This window comes from Homo sapiens, chromosome 18, assembly GCF_000001405.40.
Source record: "Homo sapiens chromosome 18, GRCh38.p14 Primary Assembly".
Taxonomy (NCBI): Eukaryota; Metazoa; Chordata; class Mammalia; order Primates; family Hominidae; genus Homo; species Homo sapiens.
Genome location: NC_000018.10, coordinates 8,154,584 through 8,173,869, shown reverse-complemented (window position 1 = coordinate 8,173,869; position 19,286 = coordinate 8,154,584). Strand labels below are relative to the sequence as shown.

The 19,286-nt window shown below is 39.5% G+C and overlaps 1 protein-coding gene across 36 annotated transcripts in view, besides 1 other annotated feature; it reads right to left on the bottom strand.

The window, feature by feature from the left end:
- Nucleotides 1-19,286, bottom strand: part of PTPRM (protein tyrosine phosphatase receptor type M) — an 839,541-nt gene that overhangs the window by 232,987 nt on the left and 587,268 nt on the right. For 4 of the 36 annotated variants that reach the window (XM_017025911.2, XM_047437723.1, XM_017025910.2 and 1 more), the window contains one exon: nt 14,549-15,181. The exons of the other annotated variants lie outside the window; for them this stretch is intronic. In XM_017025911.2, the coding sequence (XP_016881400.1) occupies nt 15,034-15,181 (148 nt within the window). In that variant the 3' untranslated portion in view covers nt 14,549-15,033. Of the gene's footprint in view, nt 1-14,548; nt 15,182-19,286 lie in introns of those variants that run through there. 36 annotated transcript variants of the gene reach the window in all.
- Nucleotides 10,765-11,059: a silencer, noted in NCBI's record as "tiled region #9307; HepG2 Repressive non-DNase unmatched - State 23:Low, and K562 Repressive non-DNase unmatched - State 21:Repr". NCBI's record gives its function as "represses a minimal TATA promoter and a strong SV40 promoter by Sharpr-MPRA in HepG2 and K562 cells {active_cell/tissue: HepG2 | K562}" and the evidence as "EXISTENCE:reporter gene assay evidence [ECO:0000049][PMID:27701403]".

The window sequence follows — 19,286 nt, the reverse complement described above, 5'->3', positions numbered from 1 at the left end:
CTTGAACTCCTGACCTCAAGTGATCCACCCACCTCGGCCTCCCAGAGTGCTGGGATTACAGGGGTGAGCCACCACATCCATCCTAAGATTGGCCTTTTGAGATGTCTTTTGAAGTTTTTGCATTGCTGGCAACCCATGCCCCACACAGACCCACCAACAGATCCTGTGGCCCTACCCAGAAGCAGACTCTCTGGCCTGCCAAGCTATTCTTGAAACACCCCAGCCTCTAAATGTTTGGAGAGATTGATTTGAATAATAACTCTGTCTCCTACATGGCATAGCCGACCTCGTGTCAATTGTGCTCTTTCTTTATTGCAATGCCACAGTCTCAGTGAATTGGTTTTATCTGTGCAGCAGGCAGCAAGAACCCACTGGGCAGTTACGAGTTTACTTCCAAAGTCATATTTAATCTTTTATTTGTTTTATAAATTGACTCATATTATTTGTCTGACCCTGGCCCGATTCTAACACAGCAAAATAGATGCTCTGCTGGTTTTACCAAGTGTTAAGAAATATTGTGAAAATAATAATCATTCATATGCTAATACTTGTTCCAACAGCATATATATCATTACCATTATATCTGAAAATTTCAACATAATTGCCACCACCTTCTTGCCAAATTCTTCCAACTGAAAGCCAGTTTTCCCTCTGAGCTTGTGAAGCCTTTACCCACACATCCTATGGTGTTTTATCATTTTCAATCTAAAATTGTCTAGGTACATGGTTAATGGTTCCACTTAGACTATAATACTCGGCACCTAGCTTAGGGCTTTGAGTAAGTAGTCATCTCAAGTATTCTTTGAATGAATCAATATGTCTCTCTACCACTCCTAATCCCTGAACTGAGTACAGTTCCTTATTAAGAAAGATGAAAACTTAAATAAGCACAAGAAAAACATATGTGTTTGTGTGTATATGTAAGTAGATATACATACATACACACAGTGAACATTGTTTCATGCATCATCATACTCTGGTACAATTAATTACAGTGCCAGGTGAGTTAGTTCATCTGGGACCCTTTCGAGACCAAACCATGGTGTTTGCTGGTGAGATGATCTTAAAGCAACAGCAGAATCAGGACCACAGATTTGGGTTTCCCTGCAATTTTCTTTCTGCTTCAAATGGGCTGAGGTTAAGCAGAAGTTTTTTTTTTCTTTTTTTTTTTTCTTGTGTTTACATTAACATTCTATGGTTAAGAACCTTCCTCACAATTAGGACACAAGAAATGTCGGCAGCTGGCCCACCCCTCTGGAGCAGTGGTTGTTAAACATCAGTGAGGATCCCTATCACTGGGGGAACTTGTATAGATTCCTCCATCCTGCATTCTGATTCAATATGCCTGGGGTATGACAAAGAAGTATGCACTGTTGTAAGTACCCGGATGATTCTGAGACAGGTTCCTTGGACTATTGAGGAACACAGCTCTGGGTCTTGAAACAGTGCCTTCCTGTACAAAGATAAATTTCCCAGTACATTGAAGACACAGCTACTAACAGGCTATGAATTGCAGCAAGACCATAAAACAAGATCATCTATACCCTGAATGAGTTGCAGGGAATAGGTAAGTCTGTAAAGTTATAAAAAAAAAAAAAAAAAAAGGTCAAGACTTGAAATGTTATTCAGGAACAGTGCTTTATCTGTATCTTTGCCACCTTTCTCACCTTCCGCCATAATTGTGAGGCCTCCCCAGCCACGTAGAACTGTGAGTCCATTAAACCTCTTTCTTTTGTAAACTGCTCAGTATCGGGTATGTCTTTATATTGCTGAAAACGAGAATACAGCAAAAGCAATTGTAGACGGTCCCTGACTTATGATTTTCCGACTTTACAATGGTGCTAAAGCTATCCGCATTCAGTAGAAACTGTACTTCGAGTATCCATACAACCATTCTGTTTTTCACTTTCGGCACAGTATTCAATAAGTTAAATGAGATATTCCACACTTTATTATAAAATAGGTTTTGTGTTAGATGATTTTCCCCAACACTTAGGCTAACCTAAGTGTTCTGAGCACATTTAAGGGAGGCTAGGCTAACCTATGAAGTTGGGTAGGGTAGGTGCAATAACTGCATTTCTTACTTATGATGGGTTGACTGGACCATAATCCTATCAAAAGTCCAGGAGCATCTGTATAGGGCCATTCAGAGGATTACCACTGGACAACAAGAAAGACTCGGAAAAATCTCAGCCTCTATTTAGCTTTCTCCAGATTCAGACAATTTTTCTGGATCTCCGTCCTAGACCCAGCCTCCCATTTTAAATGAACACAGGACATGGACATAGAAACAAACACATTTACCCCCAAACTGCCATGTTTTCTCTTGGTTGTGATTCTCTTTCACTAAGGACACAATTTTTTCCCCTACTCACAGAGGTCCAAGCTGTTTACAGAGTGACATTTCCTCATTTCTCATAGTCCCACATCTATGGCAGACCAGTGGCATCTGGTTCAATATTTCATTAAATCCTCCTGAAAACTAACAGTTCAATCTATTGAAAAACTACAGTCCCTGAGCAACGTAAATTACCTAGCAGGCTGTGGCTGTAGCATGCCACACAGCCCATTTGCTGCTGAGACATTTATAGCTGTAGAATTTCTGCACATTCTGGATGCAAGAAGCATAACCTTTATAAGCCTTCCTCAGACAGTAAACACTGCAACTTTTTAAAAAAAGTTCTCTAGCAGGAAAAGGTTATTTAGGTCCAGAATGAATGAGATTTGTGTTTTGCCTTAATTATCCATGAATCTAATGTAGAATCTTTCCTTGGGAATATTTCAGTTTTTAGCTACTCCTATAGCCCAAGGGTCTTACCCTCATCTCTTAGCCCTCAGCAAAATGACTGAAGAACATTCACACAGAGGCCCCATCGGAAGACTGTGCTCAACAGAAAATTTAGAGCTAATTTATTTTTGCTGCAGGGCATCTGCAAGTTATGTGGCAGAAGTAAGTATGGATGAATGGTTTTATTTTGGACTAGTTTTGACAATCAGTGGTCAGTCTATACCATCTTCAAATGTGGTTGTCACTTCAAAAGTAATAGAAGCCAGTCACCTTTGATGGCTATCGGGAGCTATGGAGAGGCTATGATCTCATGGCCTTCTACTCAGTTACAATAATAATGCCAGGGCCAGACAAAATTAAAGTGCCTGGACTGGCTCAGAGACTGATTCTTCAGGAATCTCCCTGCAATTTGCTCCCTTAATGAGTTTCTCCTCCTTCCCCAGGCCATGAGTCTTAACATTTATTTGTAAGAATACACAGAAAGGTAGGAAAATCTTTGTATATTTCTTTTAAAAGCCCCAAAGAGATTACCTATAGGCCCAAGACTACCTATATATAATTTAGGGATGCTTTTTTTTTTTTTTTTAACCCTTGAGCAAGTACAATGTTAAGTGCTTGTTGCACAGAGAGAATGGTAAAATGAAGCTTTAATAACAACAAACGCTCAGCTCATTTACAAATTTACTGCTTGATAGTTTGAAGGAGCAAGGACTGTAACTGACTATAACTGTGCGGCCAGCACAGCCATCAATCACACCGGGACCTTTTCTTGGCTGAGAACTTTCTCTAGATTTCGGGAGGCTCTCACAGATTAAGACTTCTGTCTTAAAAGAGCCCACCTAGCTGTACCAGAAAAATACAGATATCCTCAAATTCATCGTGTGGTCCTTGTATTGTCACTGACATGTCAGGACTTTAGCATAGCTGACATCACTCTGTTAAGCAGTCATCAAAAAAGTCACATTAAAGAAATGTGTGCAGAAACTGTAAATTAGGATTCACAGCTGTGGGTTTTCCCCTCACCCAACAGAAGCATCGAACCTATCTGGGTTTCTGTTTTTTCATCTATAAAATGAGAGGTTAGCAAGAGATGAACTCCAAGACTCTTTCTAGCTCTTTAAATTCTTTGCCTTATTTAGTTTGAACAAATATGTGCATCAAATGCATTCCAAAAGACAGGAGTGTAAAGTGAATACTTGCATACTAAATCATGTTTCCAAATTACTTACACTGTTGTTTCAGAAATGAGTACTTACAGAAGAAAAAATGGACCCAACATTAAGAAAAAAATAACATCTTGGAAAATTTGTATCCATTGAGCATATATGAATATATATGCTTGGTAGTTAAAAAATAGTCTCATCAGCAATCAATCCATGTGATTCCTGAAGACTAAATAAAAGTACACGCATACACCATGCTAAATTCTTGCCTTGGGTGAAATTCTTACCAATTCCATGAATTATACGGAATCTCATAATAGCCATCAATTAGACAATTAAGGTTTTTTTCTTCCTTGTTACTGATAATGTTGTTTCTATGTCTAAATCACTGCTATCTGAAAAGGCTACATGGAGGTACACTTTATGAAGTGTTCAGAGAGTGTACTCGGCAACAGGGGAAGTAGACCTATTACTTTTAGACTTATTATTTTTATTTTCCTTCACCCCCACAACTGCTGCCACAAAAAGCAAAAGGTTTTGTCTTACTAATTTGATAAGCATTTTTTTTTTTTTTGCCCAAATCAACATGGTATTTTTGAAGATGTAACTTTTTGGGCAGCCATTTGTTAACATGTGTCTGTGATATACTGCTATAGGACCTTTTAAATTCACTTTTCGAGCGGAAGAGAAAGAAAATGAATATACAATGGTTGGAGAAAATAGGACTCGGGTCTCTTCTTGCTAGGTGTGGTGTTTCTCATTGTGCTATATCGATGACATTTATCCTTTTCCACCTTCATTTTCCTTCCTTTCACTCACAAGATTTCTTTATCTAAGGAAACTATCTCCTAGGAGCGTGATAAGATATTTATAGAGAAATTTAATTCCAAAGTCAAACAGGAAGGCAATATATTTAATTTAACTTCTTCCATTGAGTCTAGGCAGAACTTACATGCATAATATTATAGTGAATCTGGATTATGGGTGAGCAAAAACTCGTCTTCATAAACTATCTACCATGGCATGGAGTCTGTGCTATAAGTAAAGGTGTGAACACACCATGATAAGGCCCAGTGAGGGGCATTCCATTGCAAAGATACTTGTCACTATGTAGGTTTGAGATGGTTAAATCCTGCTCCATACAATTTATAGTAAGAAAGGAGTAGATGGTCCATAAATCAGCTTTGTTCCACAAAATTCAGCACTTTTTTAGTATCTAAACAATTTGTGATTATCTATTGTTTTAGTTGGATCTCTTTTCTCCTCTAGTAACACAAATAATTTAGTGTTGATTCCACTTATAAACAGAACTTTAGAAAACAGTTATTTTAAGAAAAGTGAATATGGAACTAACTTATTTTTCTCACAAATTAAGAAGAAACAGTCTACAAATTAACAAATTTAGCAAATTTGCTAGTGAGAGAGAGAAAAAAATTAAAATCAGGGGTATCACAGGCTCCAAATGTAGTCTATACACTTATTTTTGCTAACTTTAATTTTACATATTTATGATGATATTTCAAAGCATATTTTGTAACAATTACAAACGATGTTATAAGGCCCTGCCAGTTTCCTATTACTTGGTTTGGCTATAAAGTGGTCTGGAGCTGCAAGGTTTAATGTGAAAACCAAATGGTTTGGTATAAAACTAAGATTAGCTGTGATTAAAAATGAAAATACGTCCTTGTCAAATTTATGTAAAAATACTTAACAACTTTCAGGAACTACTTTTCAGACTAATACTAATACTGTCGTAAAGTAAAATAATATTGAAATACATGAAAAAAGGCATACTAATGCCAGTAAATATTTTTAACTGAGCGCTAGAAACATACTCAGCATTGTCCAGGGTTGAGAAGCAGAGACCATTTCCTGCTTAACAGAAGATAATGCTAATGAGAAATACCACTGGGAATACACAAGCAAGGGCAGAAAGCTGGGAAGAAAATGAGTTTAGAGCTCTAATGCCAGCCAAAATGGCAAGGTGCAACAAATCACCATAAAGGCTTAACATGCCACTTCGCGACATCGCTGGAAGATAATACTTATCTCAGCATCAGGTGCCACACTGCATCATCAGGGGCAAAGAACAGGAACTGCTGTATCACATTCATCTTCACCAACTGCTCCCATATCAGAGCCACATACTAACCGTGTCTGTTTCTGAAGGAAGGGTTCACAAGCCCACAATATTTCACTTGCTAAAGTGCAATTCCTCCTGCTGCATGGCATCTTTTCAGTCCAGAGTTGAGAATTCCTGCCTTTGGACCACAGATGCTTCCAAGAACACAAGCAAGTGACTCCTCATTAGTCCTCAGAGGTACAACTACAATGAAAAGGGCGCTGGAGCCTGCTCCATCCACAGACGGGCAGCCTTATTTGCTTCTCTCAGAATCTAACAAGTGACAATGGAAGAAGTAATAAGAACACAGAAGAAATTTCAAGTCCCAGTCTTTGCTGTGGGTTGGAAATGATGTTAACTGTGACTCCTGAGTCACCAAGGTGAGCCAAACCACTAAGAGTGATGCTGAGAAGTGTGGAGCCTGGTCCCCTGTGACAATGAAGTGTACACAAAGCAACAACAGGCTTTGTTTGTGGGAGTCTCTGGCCTAATGCCATGTGGTACCAGATAGGAGGAGGGAAAGAGTCACCGCATGTGGGTAAGACAGGCTGCTGCACCAATGTGGATTTTACAACATGCACACATACCATGGAGGCTTGAAAACTATTGGTGCGTGAAGATGACCATTCATTTGTGGCATATTTCAAGCCTACTTAGATGCTTCATATGCTAAAGGAGCTTCCAAAGGAGCCAGAGGCACCCAGGTCTCCTCTCTGCTTCCTGACCTTAAGTGAGCAGAGCCTGTGTCCAAGAGTAGCTTAGAGCCTGCACACTTGGCTTTGCAGGGTGCTTCTTTTATTAACTGGGTGAAGGGAGAGATATGAGTATCATAATAATTCAAGTCACAGAATTTTCAGCTGCTTTCTTTCCAGCTCAACAGGTAGATCTTGTGTCTATCTTTGCCTAGGTCTATTTTATTTCAACCAAAGTATCATAATGGCTCAGAGTGGAAGCTCTGGAGACCAGCAGCCTGGCTTTACCCCTTGGTTCAGTTGCTTACTGACCATGCAACTTTAAGCAACTTAGTTTGCTCAGTCTTGGTTTCCTTGAGTGTAAAACAGGACAACAGAATATGTGCTACAGAGTCATTACAAAGCGAAACAGTGATAATACTCGTAAAAAGCTTACAGCAGGGCTTAGTAAGAGGCAGATGCTTAACACTTAATATATATTAGCTGTCATCATCATCACCAAATAAGTAATAAATAATACAAGTGGCAAGACATTTGTTCATGGATGTGTTATTATTAATTTAGATTATGCAAGGTAAATCTGGCTTTTATTTTTCATTTGGTCATTATTATCTCTGCTGGTTAATAAACTTGTTTGAAGGAAGGAAGGGCTCTGTAATAGGTTCCTTACAGATGTCACACATAATAAATATAAACATATATGGTCCTCACATGGGGAGAGAGGCAAAATTCTATGCTCTGGGCATGGTCTTCTTCAAGGTGACTTCAATTACAGAAAAGAGGCTGCAGCCCAGGGAAAGCGGGTTGCAGGGAGAAGTGGGAAGCAAGAGTATGACTTGTTCCTTGCCTCAGTAATGACGTAAAGCGCATAGGTTGGAGTCCGCCAAGCCACTTCTCAGAGCTGGGAGGAGAAACCACACAGTAGGCAAGGCACCAAGGCACTCCCATAGATAGGATCTGCGTTTATTCACTCATTTCTGCAGTGGATCAATAAACATTTATCATGTGCTTAGTCTGCTTTAGGAATGGGAGAGACAAACATGATCAAGCCATGGCTCCTGCCCTCTGTGAGTTTCTAGTTCACAGACAGCCACAAGAATACCCTGAATGGAAAGGCTACTTAGAAACTACAGAATAAGTCAAGATGCATAATTAGAGCTTCATTCAACTGAGAGGGACCCGAGCCCTAAGTGTTAGGTAGCAAATGCTGAATATCTTTTCTTACATTTAAAAAAAATCAAGCCCATAAGGGGGGAACTGCACAATTCTGCACGTGGGGAGCTGTGTGGATTTGATTTGAAGCACTATAAGCTTCCAGAATGCTGGGCACATTCCTATTCTGTCCATGGATAATTTGTGCCACCCTCACTGTTACTAGTAAAGAAGATCAAAAATTGATAGCCATGGAAGCGACTGGCCTGACACTACCCATATTTCACTCTCTGGTGCCTAAAAATAATGCAGCAGAACATATTGCTTTCTTCACTTGAGACTGCAAGAATCTGGGCATCACCAGTGTTTTGGCGGTACACGCTGCCTAACTCTGGGGTATTGTGGTAACAATTCAGGAGGTGTTTTTTCAAGGCAGTTTGGTTTTCTCACTGTCACCACTGTCAGTAATAATGCTGGAATACTGCCGGTGACATGCTTCAAATGTAGCTTTGTGCATTTCTGTGGTCTCTGGTAGACATGTACCAACAACATAAATATTCTCTTGCTATCGGCTGGACAGTAACTTTCTTAGCCATCCTTGGCCTAACAGTCTAAAAGGGAAACACTTGATGACAAGCCAAGTGTACAAGTACCACTGAGTGCTCCAATGCTCAGAGGCTGACCATTGATTAGAATGATGAGCGGTGCCAAGAATTCAAAACCTGTCTAAATCACTCTACCAGTATTAGAACATTTCTTTCTTTCTTTCTTTTTTTTTTTTTTTTGAGATGGAGTCTTGCTCTGTCACCACGCAGGAGTGCAGTGGCGTGATCTCCGCTTACTGCAACCTCTGCCTCCTGGGTTCAAGCAATTCTCCTGCCTCAGCCTCCCGAGTAGCTGGGATTACAGGTGTGTGCCACCGTACTCAGCTAATTTTTGTATTTTTAGTGGAGACGGGGTTTCCACTCAACCAGGATGGCCAGGATGGTTTCGGTCTTTTGACCTAGTGATCCGCCCACCTTGGCCTCCCAAAGTGCTGGGATTAGGCATGTGCCACTGCGCCTGGCCTTAGAAGATATTTATTGTAATAAAATATATAACTTAAAATTTACCATTTTAACTATTTTTAAGTGTATAATTCAGTGGCATTGAGTCATGCACATAGTTGTGCAACTATCACCACTGTCTGTCTCGCTAATTTTTCATCTCAAACTGAAACTCTCTAGCCATTAAACATCAATTCCTCATTGCCTTCTTCCCCAAGCCCCTGGCAGCTACCATACTACTTTCTGTCTCTATGAATTTGACTACTCTAGGTACTTATATAAGTGGAATGATACAGTATTTGTCTTCCTGTGACTGGCTTATTTCATGTAGCATGATGTCCTCAAGGCTGATCCATGTTGTAGCATGTGTCAGGATTTCCTTCCTTTTTAAGACTGAATAGTACTCCGTTGTATGGATAGACCACATTTTTGTTTATCCACTCTTCTGTCAAAGGACACTTGGTTGCTTCTAACTTTCAGCTATCATGAATAATACTGCATGAACAGAGGTATACAAATATTTGTTTGAGTCCCTGTTTTCATTTCTTTTGGACATATACCTAGAAATATATTTTTGTAAATAATGGCGGTAGGGCTGCATTTTTGGGTCCCAGCATAGAACCTTTTTCACTGAATGCACACTTAAAAAGGGACTGCATGCTGTTAAAGAAAAATGTTTTACAGACTGTATTTGCCAAATCACAAAATTAACTAAGCAAGAGACTTCTTGGCTAACACAGTCTCATCCAGTGAGGTCAACTTATGATACTAAACAACATTTTAGAATCTAAAACTCGATTTCTTTTCTTCTATTCTTCTTAGTTGCTCTCTTAACTTATGGATCTTTCATAATGGCTATTTCATTTACCCTGGCTTAACTAGATTGTTACTTGCACACAGCTCTGGTTTAATGGTTGCAAGTTCTTCACGTATTATCACTAAAATTAGCAGTATAACATCTGAAAGAGAAATGATTGCTAGTGTCCTCGATTTAACTAAAAAGTGCTAAAGCTAACACAGTGGTCAGGATAGTAATTAAAGATGTTTTTGAGAACTCAAAATTGTGTAAGTCATAGAACACATGGTATTTAAATAATTGTTGGTGTTAGGAAAAAGTACTTGAAAATCAATGGAGCATGTTACACTGCACATAATCAGATCTGTAATTTTGACCACTGAAACTATGAACTTGTTAATGGTGCTCATTAATCAACCACCCTCTTCACATAATGAATTATCATTCTACTTAGGTACTCATAACTTCAGTTAATTTTAATGCTATTGTTGTTCTTTATATCAGTGTTGATCATAAAAGTGAAAAAGGTACACAGGATAAGAACATTTATTTATGCTGTGTTCCTTTGGTAAAATATTGTCCTCTGTGCTTGGCAGACTTCCCTTGAGAGACATGGCTAACAGCCTGGGTATTGGCTAAGGAGGGCAGGGGACACTTCCCGCTAATTATACGGTGAAAGAGACTGGACCTCACCACTGGCAAGCTGAGGAATGGTGAGTGTGTTTCTTGAAGAACATTCGACAAGCTAGACTTAATCTAGAGTCAGGCAAAATTTAGAAAATCAGGCTAGCATCCTGAAAGTTCCAGGTTAAAAAAAAAATCACAACTTTAGAAGTTAGGAAGTTTTGGAACATGAGTTAGAAGTTGTTTGGAGATTCAAATGAATAGGAAGTTGTTTGGAGATTCAAATGAATAGGTTGTTTAAGTCCAGGCACCAGCACAGCAATTAGGACAGCAGAAAATTAAACTGATCCTGAAGCTAAGCCTGTTCAGCTCAGGCACTTGAGCAATTGCCTGCCAAGGAGTGAAAGTGGATTGGCTCAGTCCTTGGGAGCTAGCTGTCGTGGGGCGTGTGGACACTGGTTGCAGGAAGGCGCTAGAGCTGGCTGAGGGCAGGTGTGTGGCTGACGGCTGGCTCTGTTAGATGTGCCCTGAGGGCTCCAGTGTTTGTTTGGAGAAGCAGCAGAGCATTTTTACAACTGCAGCCTGATGCCAAGACCACATCAGCTCGCCAGGCTGTGGATTGGACACTTAGCAGTTTAGAAACTTCAGGGCCCTGGAGACTGTTTAAATTTTTATTCCCTCCCCACCTCCTGAAACACACGTAAAGATGTGTGTATGGGGTGGAGAGAGGAATGGATACATAGGGAAATATGCTATGTACTTATTCTCAGATAAATCTTACTCCTCAAACCCGGCATAAAAGGGTACATAAAGAAATCATCAGCCACGTGTTAGCAACAGCCTTGTTCTTAGATGATCTCTGGGTCTCCGGCCTTGGTCACCTGTGTTGAGGAGGTAGCGGGTGGTCCCCAGCACTCAGTGCTCAGGGTGAGGAGCCATGCTGGGGTGGGCTGGCTTCCCTCCTGGGAACCATCTGCAGAAGTGGGCACAGCCAGGGCCACCCATTCCTCTTTCCTACACTGGCGGAGTTGTTTTCAAAGTCCAGAAAGACCATTCATGTAAACAGAATTTACAAAATTTAATTTAGGCCAGGCGCGGTAGCTCATGCCCATAATCCCAGCACTTTGGGAAGCCAAGGTGGGCGGATCACCTGAGGTCAGGAGTTCAAGGCCAGCCTGGCTAACATGGTGAAACCCTGTTTGTACTAAAAATGTAAAAAATTAGCTGGGCGTGGTGGCATGTGCCTGTAATCCTAGATACTCAGGAGGCTGAGGCAGGAGAATTGCTTGAACCCAGGAGGCAGAGGTTGTAGTGAGCCGAGATGGCGCCATTGCACTCCAGCTTGGGCAACAAGAGTGAAACTCCGTAGGAAAAAAAAAAAAAAGAAAAAAACCCCACAAAATTTAACTGTAGTCTTATGAGAAAAAGTATTCTAACAGATATTGCTATCTGAGGCTCAACAAGAGTCCAGAGGAATTCCAGCTTGGATTAGCAAGAAATAACAGGAGTCAACAGCAATCCCAGTGCAGAACACAGGGATGAGCTCTAATTAGAAATGGGAGGCACACTTATTCCAAACCATCTGGCCATATCACCTACAAGATAACTGATGCCTAAGTTCTCTTGGATTTCTGAGCAAGAACCAGTTATCACGAAGTAGGATGCAGGCCAGTGGTGCCATTTGCATGCATCACAGGGTATGAATGAGCACGTGGGTAAAGGGGTAGCACGACCAGGAAATGATCCGTTGTCCTTTCCTGGTTGGTATAAGACAACATGTGTAGCCAGAGACATGTAAGTGACAGAAGATTTTTAAATGTCTCCTGCTTGGTTTATCTTAAAAATACAATTAAGAATCACATGCGGGTGACTGGATATCTATTTTATTTGGCCAACACATACTTTAAAAAGTGATTCATTGCCAACCAAAAAGTTAGAACACTTAGTAAAGAAATCAAGATTTCTCCCTTCCCTCAGGGGAGATGGGAAGATTTGTGACACTGTAATATACTTGCCTGAAGCTGGACAGTGGGTGCCTTCTCACCACACTCTCTGCACCAGGAGCTCATCCATACACAGGTCAACTCTACTGGCCCCCCTAGGCAGTTATGATTTTAACCCTTCTATGACCTTTAGGATCTGAACTCAGAGTCAACCTTAGCCTGACAAATTATTAAAGAAAAATCTTGACAATTGTGACTACAAAACTGCAACCAACAGATGCAATTACAATAAGGTAATTCTCAGCAAAGACACCCTCAGGCATCCCCAAGTGTCCCCCAAGGAGCCAACACCACTCCTGCATGACAGCTTCCAAGTTAATATTTTCAGTGAATGCTATGTCACCTCTTCATTTTGAAGATCTTAATATATTTCTGAGATTTTCTTCCTTTCCTTTTTAATAAAAGTTAAACCTAAGAATTAGTCATTGATAGCTGAACATATCTTTAGAGAGTGGCCAATTTCTTCAAATTCTGACCACTGACTCCAAACCCACAACTCAGGCTTTTATAGAAATCAGGTAAAAGGATAAAGAACAAAGAACATTTTGATAGCTCCCAATAACTAGGCACTTACACTAAGCGGCCTTTTCCTGAATTTGTTCTTATTAATTAATGCTTTCTTTCTGGCAATGGGAACAATGAATCAATGTTTATCACAGATGCTTATCAAACACCCTTGGAGGAATAATACCATACAATGATGCAGTGAGACAGCTAACAGCGAGAAGAGCTGCCTGGAAATGCTAAGTCCTGAATAAATTACTAGGCTGCAGCCTAGCCACTGAAGACGGAAGTCTAGATATTTCTGTTATAAAACCACTGAATAGAAGACTTGAAAAACTAGATATTTTAACTTAAGATGCCCACAGTATAAGAAGAATTCATCCTGGCTAGGCATAGTGGTTCAGTGCCTGTAATCCCAGAACTTTGGGAGGCTTACGCAGGAGGATCACTTGAGGCCCTGAGTTCAAGATCAGCCTGGGCAGCATGGCAACACCCTGTCTCTACAACAACAACAACAACAAAACCCCAAAATTTTCTGGGCGTGGTGGCGCATGTCTGCAGTCCTAGCTACTTGGGAGGTTGAGACGGGGGATCACTTGAGCCCAGGAGTTTGAGGCTGCAGCGAGCTTGTGTCACTGTGCTCCAGCCTGGTTAACAGAGCAAGTCCCTATCTCCAATAAATAAATAAATAGAAAATACATAAAAAGAATAAAGTTCTCCCTGACTTCCCTTAAAAAAATTTCATCTTAAGGAGGTTTATTCGTTTTTTTGAACAAAGGACTTGTTAATCTCAATTGATGTTGGTTATAAAAATGCAATGGAATACACGATTTATAAAAAATATTTCAAAGGTGGCTTAAAAATAAATGATCGTTTAAATAAATGATAGTGATGAGCCCATTTTTCTTTTGAATTAAGCTGTATCTGAATTTAAAGGTACTCCTATTCATTTCAACTATTTTAATATATTAAATTTTTAATTCAAATAATTATTATTCAAACTTTAACAAATTCATACTACTACACGTAGGGAGTCTGTCCATTATAATATCTACACTACAGAAAAATTAAAACATCTTATAATATTATGAAACTTACATCCCTGAAATTTTTTTTTTAAAAAGCAAAGCTGTTCAAAGTCCAGTGCTGCACTAAAGGGCTTGCATGAAAGAAGAGTATTTTTCTTTACTGACGGTATACTCCATGTCTTCTATGGAAAACACTAGACTAGATGTAAGAATAGGATGTTGAAGATGATTAAAAAGGATCTAATAGAAAAGACATATGGTACCCAGATCATTCAGGACTGTGAATGCAGGAGAGCGTACTGTCGGCACTGTCGGGAGGGACACAGTAAGCAAAGCACTAAATCCCAGGTGTCCAAATTGGAATTCTGGTACTCAGGCAGGTGCTGCCTAAGTCATCACAGAAACATAATAAACACCGGAATGAACACTGGGCCATCTTTAGACACGATAACATGGACTACAGTTTTGTCAAATTTTGTTTTGTTTTTACAAAGAAATAGTATGTTGGGATTTAATAAATGAATCCATTTTTACTTGCAGTAAAACTCATAAAAACAGTTTCACTTTAGTTCCACCACAGCAGTGCCATAAGCAAACGGCACATATGAATATAACAATGATAAGAACATCTTCCAGGGGATCCAGTGAAGCTTTATTTACTTTAAAAAGCACACTCTGTAAGGATACCAGGCAAAATTTATATTACTATTCAAGAAAATATAGTACTTAATATAATACTACATCTTATAATGCTGAGATCCATCCAAAATATTCCTTTCTCAATCAACACAGTGGCGCCTCTGTATCCTTCTTAAAAATTAATTTTATGTAATTTTCTATAAATGAATCTAAATTAAAGATTCCAGAGGTAAACCATTTCCCTGTTAAAAAGAAATTTAGATTTATGTTAGAAGAAGAGGTGTCATGAATCTTGCTTGACATGGTTTGCAGGATCTTTGTCCCCCACATCTCATGTTGCAATGTGATTTCCAACAGTGGAGGTGGGCTGGGTGGGAGGTGTCTGAATGGTAGGGATGGATCCCTTTTGAATGGTTTAACACCATCCCTTTGGTGGTGAGTGAGTTCCTACTCAGTTCACATGAAATTTGGTTGTTTCAAAGTCTGAGACACCCTCCCGCTCGCTCTCGTGCTCCTGCTCTTGCCATGGGACACGCCTGCTTGTGCTTTGCCTTCCTCCATGATTGGAAGCTTCCTGAGGCCTCACCAGAAGCTGAACAGATGCTGGCACCATGCTTGTAAAGCCTGCAGAACCATAAGCCAGTTAAACCTCTTTTCTTTATAAATTACCCACTCTCAGGTATTCGTTTATAGTAACACAAAAATGGACTAATACATTGCCCAAATAAGTCAGGTTAGAAATTGGACTATTTTTTTCTTAATGCATATATTTCTTTCCTCATACTCTTCATTGTTTTACTTATTAATATAAAACAAAACTGGAAAGAGTTGGAAAAGTGGTATTATTAGGTTTGAATTCCTGGATTCGATAACCAAGATACAAGTTTAAACGATCATCCCAAGAAAAATATGCTCAGTTTTTAACGCTCTTATGAACTAGAAAGTGAAGTCACATCAACATGAATCAAAACACACACCCAGTAAAGATCATGAAGCACTTGGGTGGGACTGGGAATGTCAACACACTCCATCTTGAGACATCAACTGTGAAGAATGATCAATTTTAGTAGTAATTATGCAGCCCTCTCTCAATACCCTTTTAAGAAGTCTAGGGCTTGAGTTTAGGAATTAAGAGACACAGATAGAACCAGTTTTAATAAGCTATGCTAATAGATAGAGGTTAAAAATGAGTGGAGTTACCAGGCATTCAAATGAGGAATCAGTAGGAAAATTGTGCCCTGAGATGGCTGGTGAGAATTCAGCCCTGCTGAATGTGGTGCAAGTTCAGGGCTGGTGCCTGGCCACAGGGCCTTCGACCTCCTGCAACTGTGGAAGGTGAACAAGCAGCACTGAGGAGAGGCTCAGGGAGTCCACACAGATACATGACAAGGCCTTTATGCACACCGAAGACAGTGATGCTGTCCTTCTGTTCCCACCCCAGGTGGCAGACCACTTGGCACCTTGCTGCGTCTGGGTCTGGAAGGTTTTAATACCCAAAGTATTTGCATTTAATGCCAATGCCATGCCCACTCAGAAGCATTTGGGGTTTAGAGGACGTTCCCCAAGCATGGTAGTATTGATGCCCCAGGACCTTTGGTTTACTTATCTGCAGAGAACAATTTTTCCTATAATCCGGCTCTCCACTTGACTGAGTAGGAGCCTGGGCATAAGGAATACTAGTGGCTGAGCATGGCTGAAGAATGATTTTACTTTGTGCTATCAGCTCTGGCACCTTCACCAAGGCATGGCCTTAAGGTAAGGAGAAAATGAGCTGTCTCATTCCAGCTAGCTGTGTTCCTAGCTAGCTTCATAATTAAAGACCCATCCCGTGTGTTTCTTTGGGTACAAAGAAATGATGCTCTCCATGGGAAAAGGAGAGAGGACCCCCTCTCAAGGGGAGACAGCTCCGTTCCTTGGTCTTCTCCCATGTCCGGACACAAAGACTTCGAGGCACGCAAGCCATGAGCATTGAAACCAGAGAGGCAGCTACAGCTTGTATACTGGTGTATAATGCATATTATCAATAGAGTTAATATTTACTGGGGCCAGCACTTTAAAGGTATCAACTTGTTTTCTTGTCATAACATTTTATGATGTAAGAACTATTATTATGCCCTTGGAATAGCTGGGGAAACTGAGGGACACCGAGCTAGGTGGCTTGTCTAAGATCACACAGCCAGTAAGCCACGGAACCAAGGTGTGGGCATAAGGCAGCTGTCCCCAGGGTCTCCACTTTCACCACGGAAGACCCCAGCATTTGTCTCTGAGGAGGAAAGGTGCAGCTAATGCTCCCCTGCTTTATGGCTTCCTCTAAAACTTAACAAGATTCTCTTGTTCAGTAAACCAGACAAGAGGATACAGCATCCTCACCATTGAGAGTTATCAGAAGTAAACTCAGGAATCAACAAATGACACAAAATACAGCTATTCAAAAGAATTCTAAAAATGCTTCTGCAAAGGAGGATACGAAAAAAGCATTTATTTAGCTATTCTGCAATGATGGCTCAAAGAAAAGAATAAGACATGCTGGCAGAATTTCAAATATTTATAGACTTAAAGCAATGGTAAACTGCAACAAGCTGATGACTGCACGGTGTTGTCAGCTAATTATAAAGAGTACCTGAGCTTTACAGAGCAAGGTGCATGTTTGAGTTTTACTTGCCTGAGCCAGGGTAGCAGGGCAGTTAAAAGTCAGATGCACTGACTTAGACTAGGCCCTCCCACGGACTACCTACGTGCCCTGGGACAAGTTCTCCAACTGCTGGGTTCTTAAGCTATTATCTATCAAAGACCAACTATGTACATATACCATCTAATTTTTACCGCATCCCCTATGCAGTACACATTATCATCATCGTCACATCTCACATGTGCAAAATAGTTCAGAGGTGTTAAGTAACTCATTTAAATTTACAGTGCCACAAAGTAAAGAGTTGTGGTGTAAAATCAGGTTCGTCAGATTCTAAAGCCATGACTCTTATCATTCTCTGACACTTTCCTCCTATAAGATGAAAAATTGGTAGCTATGTTCCCCACACTCTTTTTTTAAAATAAAATCTTCTTTAAAAAGAGTTCCCATTAGGTTGAGTCAAGAAATAGGGGTTACTTTAGGAACTGTTACAGTAATCATATAAAGTCCAGCTCAGAAGAGGCCTTTACAAAAGTCAATTTGTTCAACTTACCCTTGTACCTCAACCCTATTCAATTATCTGGAAACCTGAAGGACGGCAGCTAATTGATAGACTGAGATAAAACATCCATACATGTTTGTGTGCACATATGGCCTGTTCCAAGCATGCCAAAGTATGTGCTAGGCAAGATCTCAGCATCTGGTTCATACTTATAGGACTGCATATTAAAGCCACATATTTTAAATAATTGTCACAAAGAAACATCTATGTGTGACTTTCTCAGTGTAGTCTCAGGAAAGGTGATTTTGAAATAAAACTTTGAATAATGCATCCAGACCTAAGCTATTTTCCACACAGAAGTCACACTTACTTACAGTGGAAAGAAACTACCTCACATGTAAATGGATAGGCCGGGGGAACTATAGTTAATGTCAACTTGCCTCCGGCTGCATGCTGCAGGCATCTCTTTGAAAATGGGGCTTTCATCAAATTTTCCCTCTTATCTTTTTTGTTTCATGTTGTCTTCAGAAAAACTTCCCATTTTTATTGTGATTTTTCTTGGTAGTGCTAGCATTGTTTAAATATAATAGAATGGGTGCCAAATATTTGATAATATGCTGCATTTGCAAAATGTACATCTGTTTAAATGTGTTATGGAAAGGAGATGGAGGTATAGTGTTTCAGAATTAAAATAGTTATATTTACCTATAACAGGTATTTATGTAATATAATAGCTACCACTTGCTATTTTGCCCCAGAATGCCTAACTCTTTAATTATTTTCAATAGCTGCAACTTCTGTGATTTCTATGTACCACAGTGGCTGAGACAGGAATATTACTATAATTAATACAAATGTTCTCAAATTCCTGAAAGATCTATAGCTATTTTAGAAACAATCGTAAATATAATTAATCATGGTAAAATTGATAGTGCTTACATACTAAGTTCTGTCAAACATGTTATTGAGATACATTATTCCTTATGAAAAATGTTAAAAATACAGGTATTTTCATTTATACAAATATATCTAATTATACATGGATGAAACCTGGTAAAAAAAATATGTCCTATTCAAGTTATTTTATATTAATTTTGAGAGTACATTGCCCCGTGGTTCTGTATAAAACATTTATTTTGTAGACATTTATCTCACACCTTTTCTTAACATTTGCTGCATCAAAATGTCAAATCTTTAAAGGAACACATAATTTGTGGGACGGAAAATAAAAAATTGCTTTGCTTACATAATAAAGTAAAAATAAGTGTATACATTTCATAAAATGTTTCAAAGAAAAGAAGGTTTCAGATGATATTAGTCCAGGTAAAGGCCAAATGAATTAATATACATGAACAAAAAATTAGTTGTTGCTTTGTGATAGGTTTGTAAAACATCCTAAAATAAAGCTGATGGTCATGTCAGTTTTTAGCCATTATTGCCTATATGTTAAATAATTCCATGTACTAATTAGTATGAACTGAACAGACTTTACATTTTCTGTTAAAAGCCCACCTTCCACAACTATTTTTTTATAGAGGGCCAATTCTTCAGAAGACAAAACAATCTTAGCTAATAATTGACAATGCCTCCCAATAAAA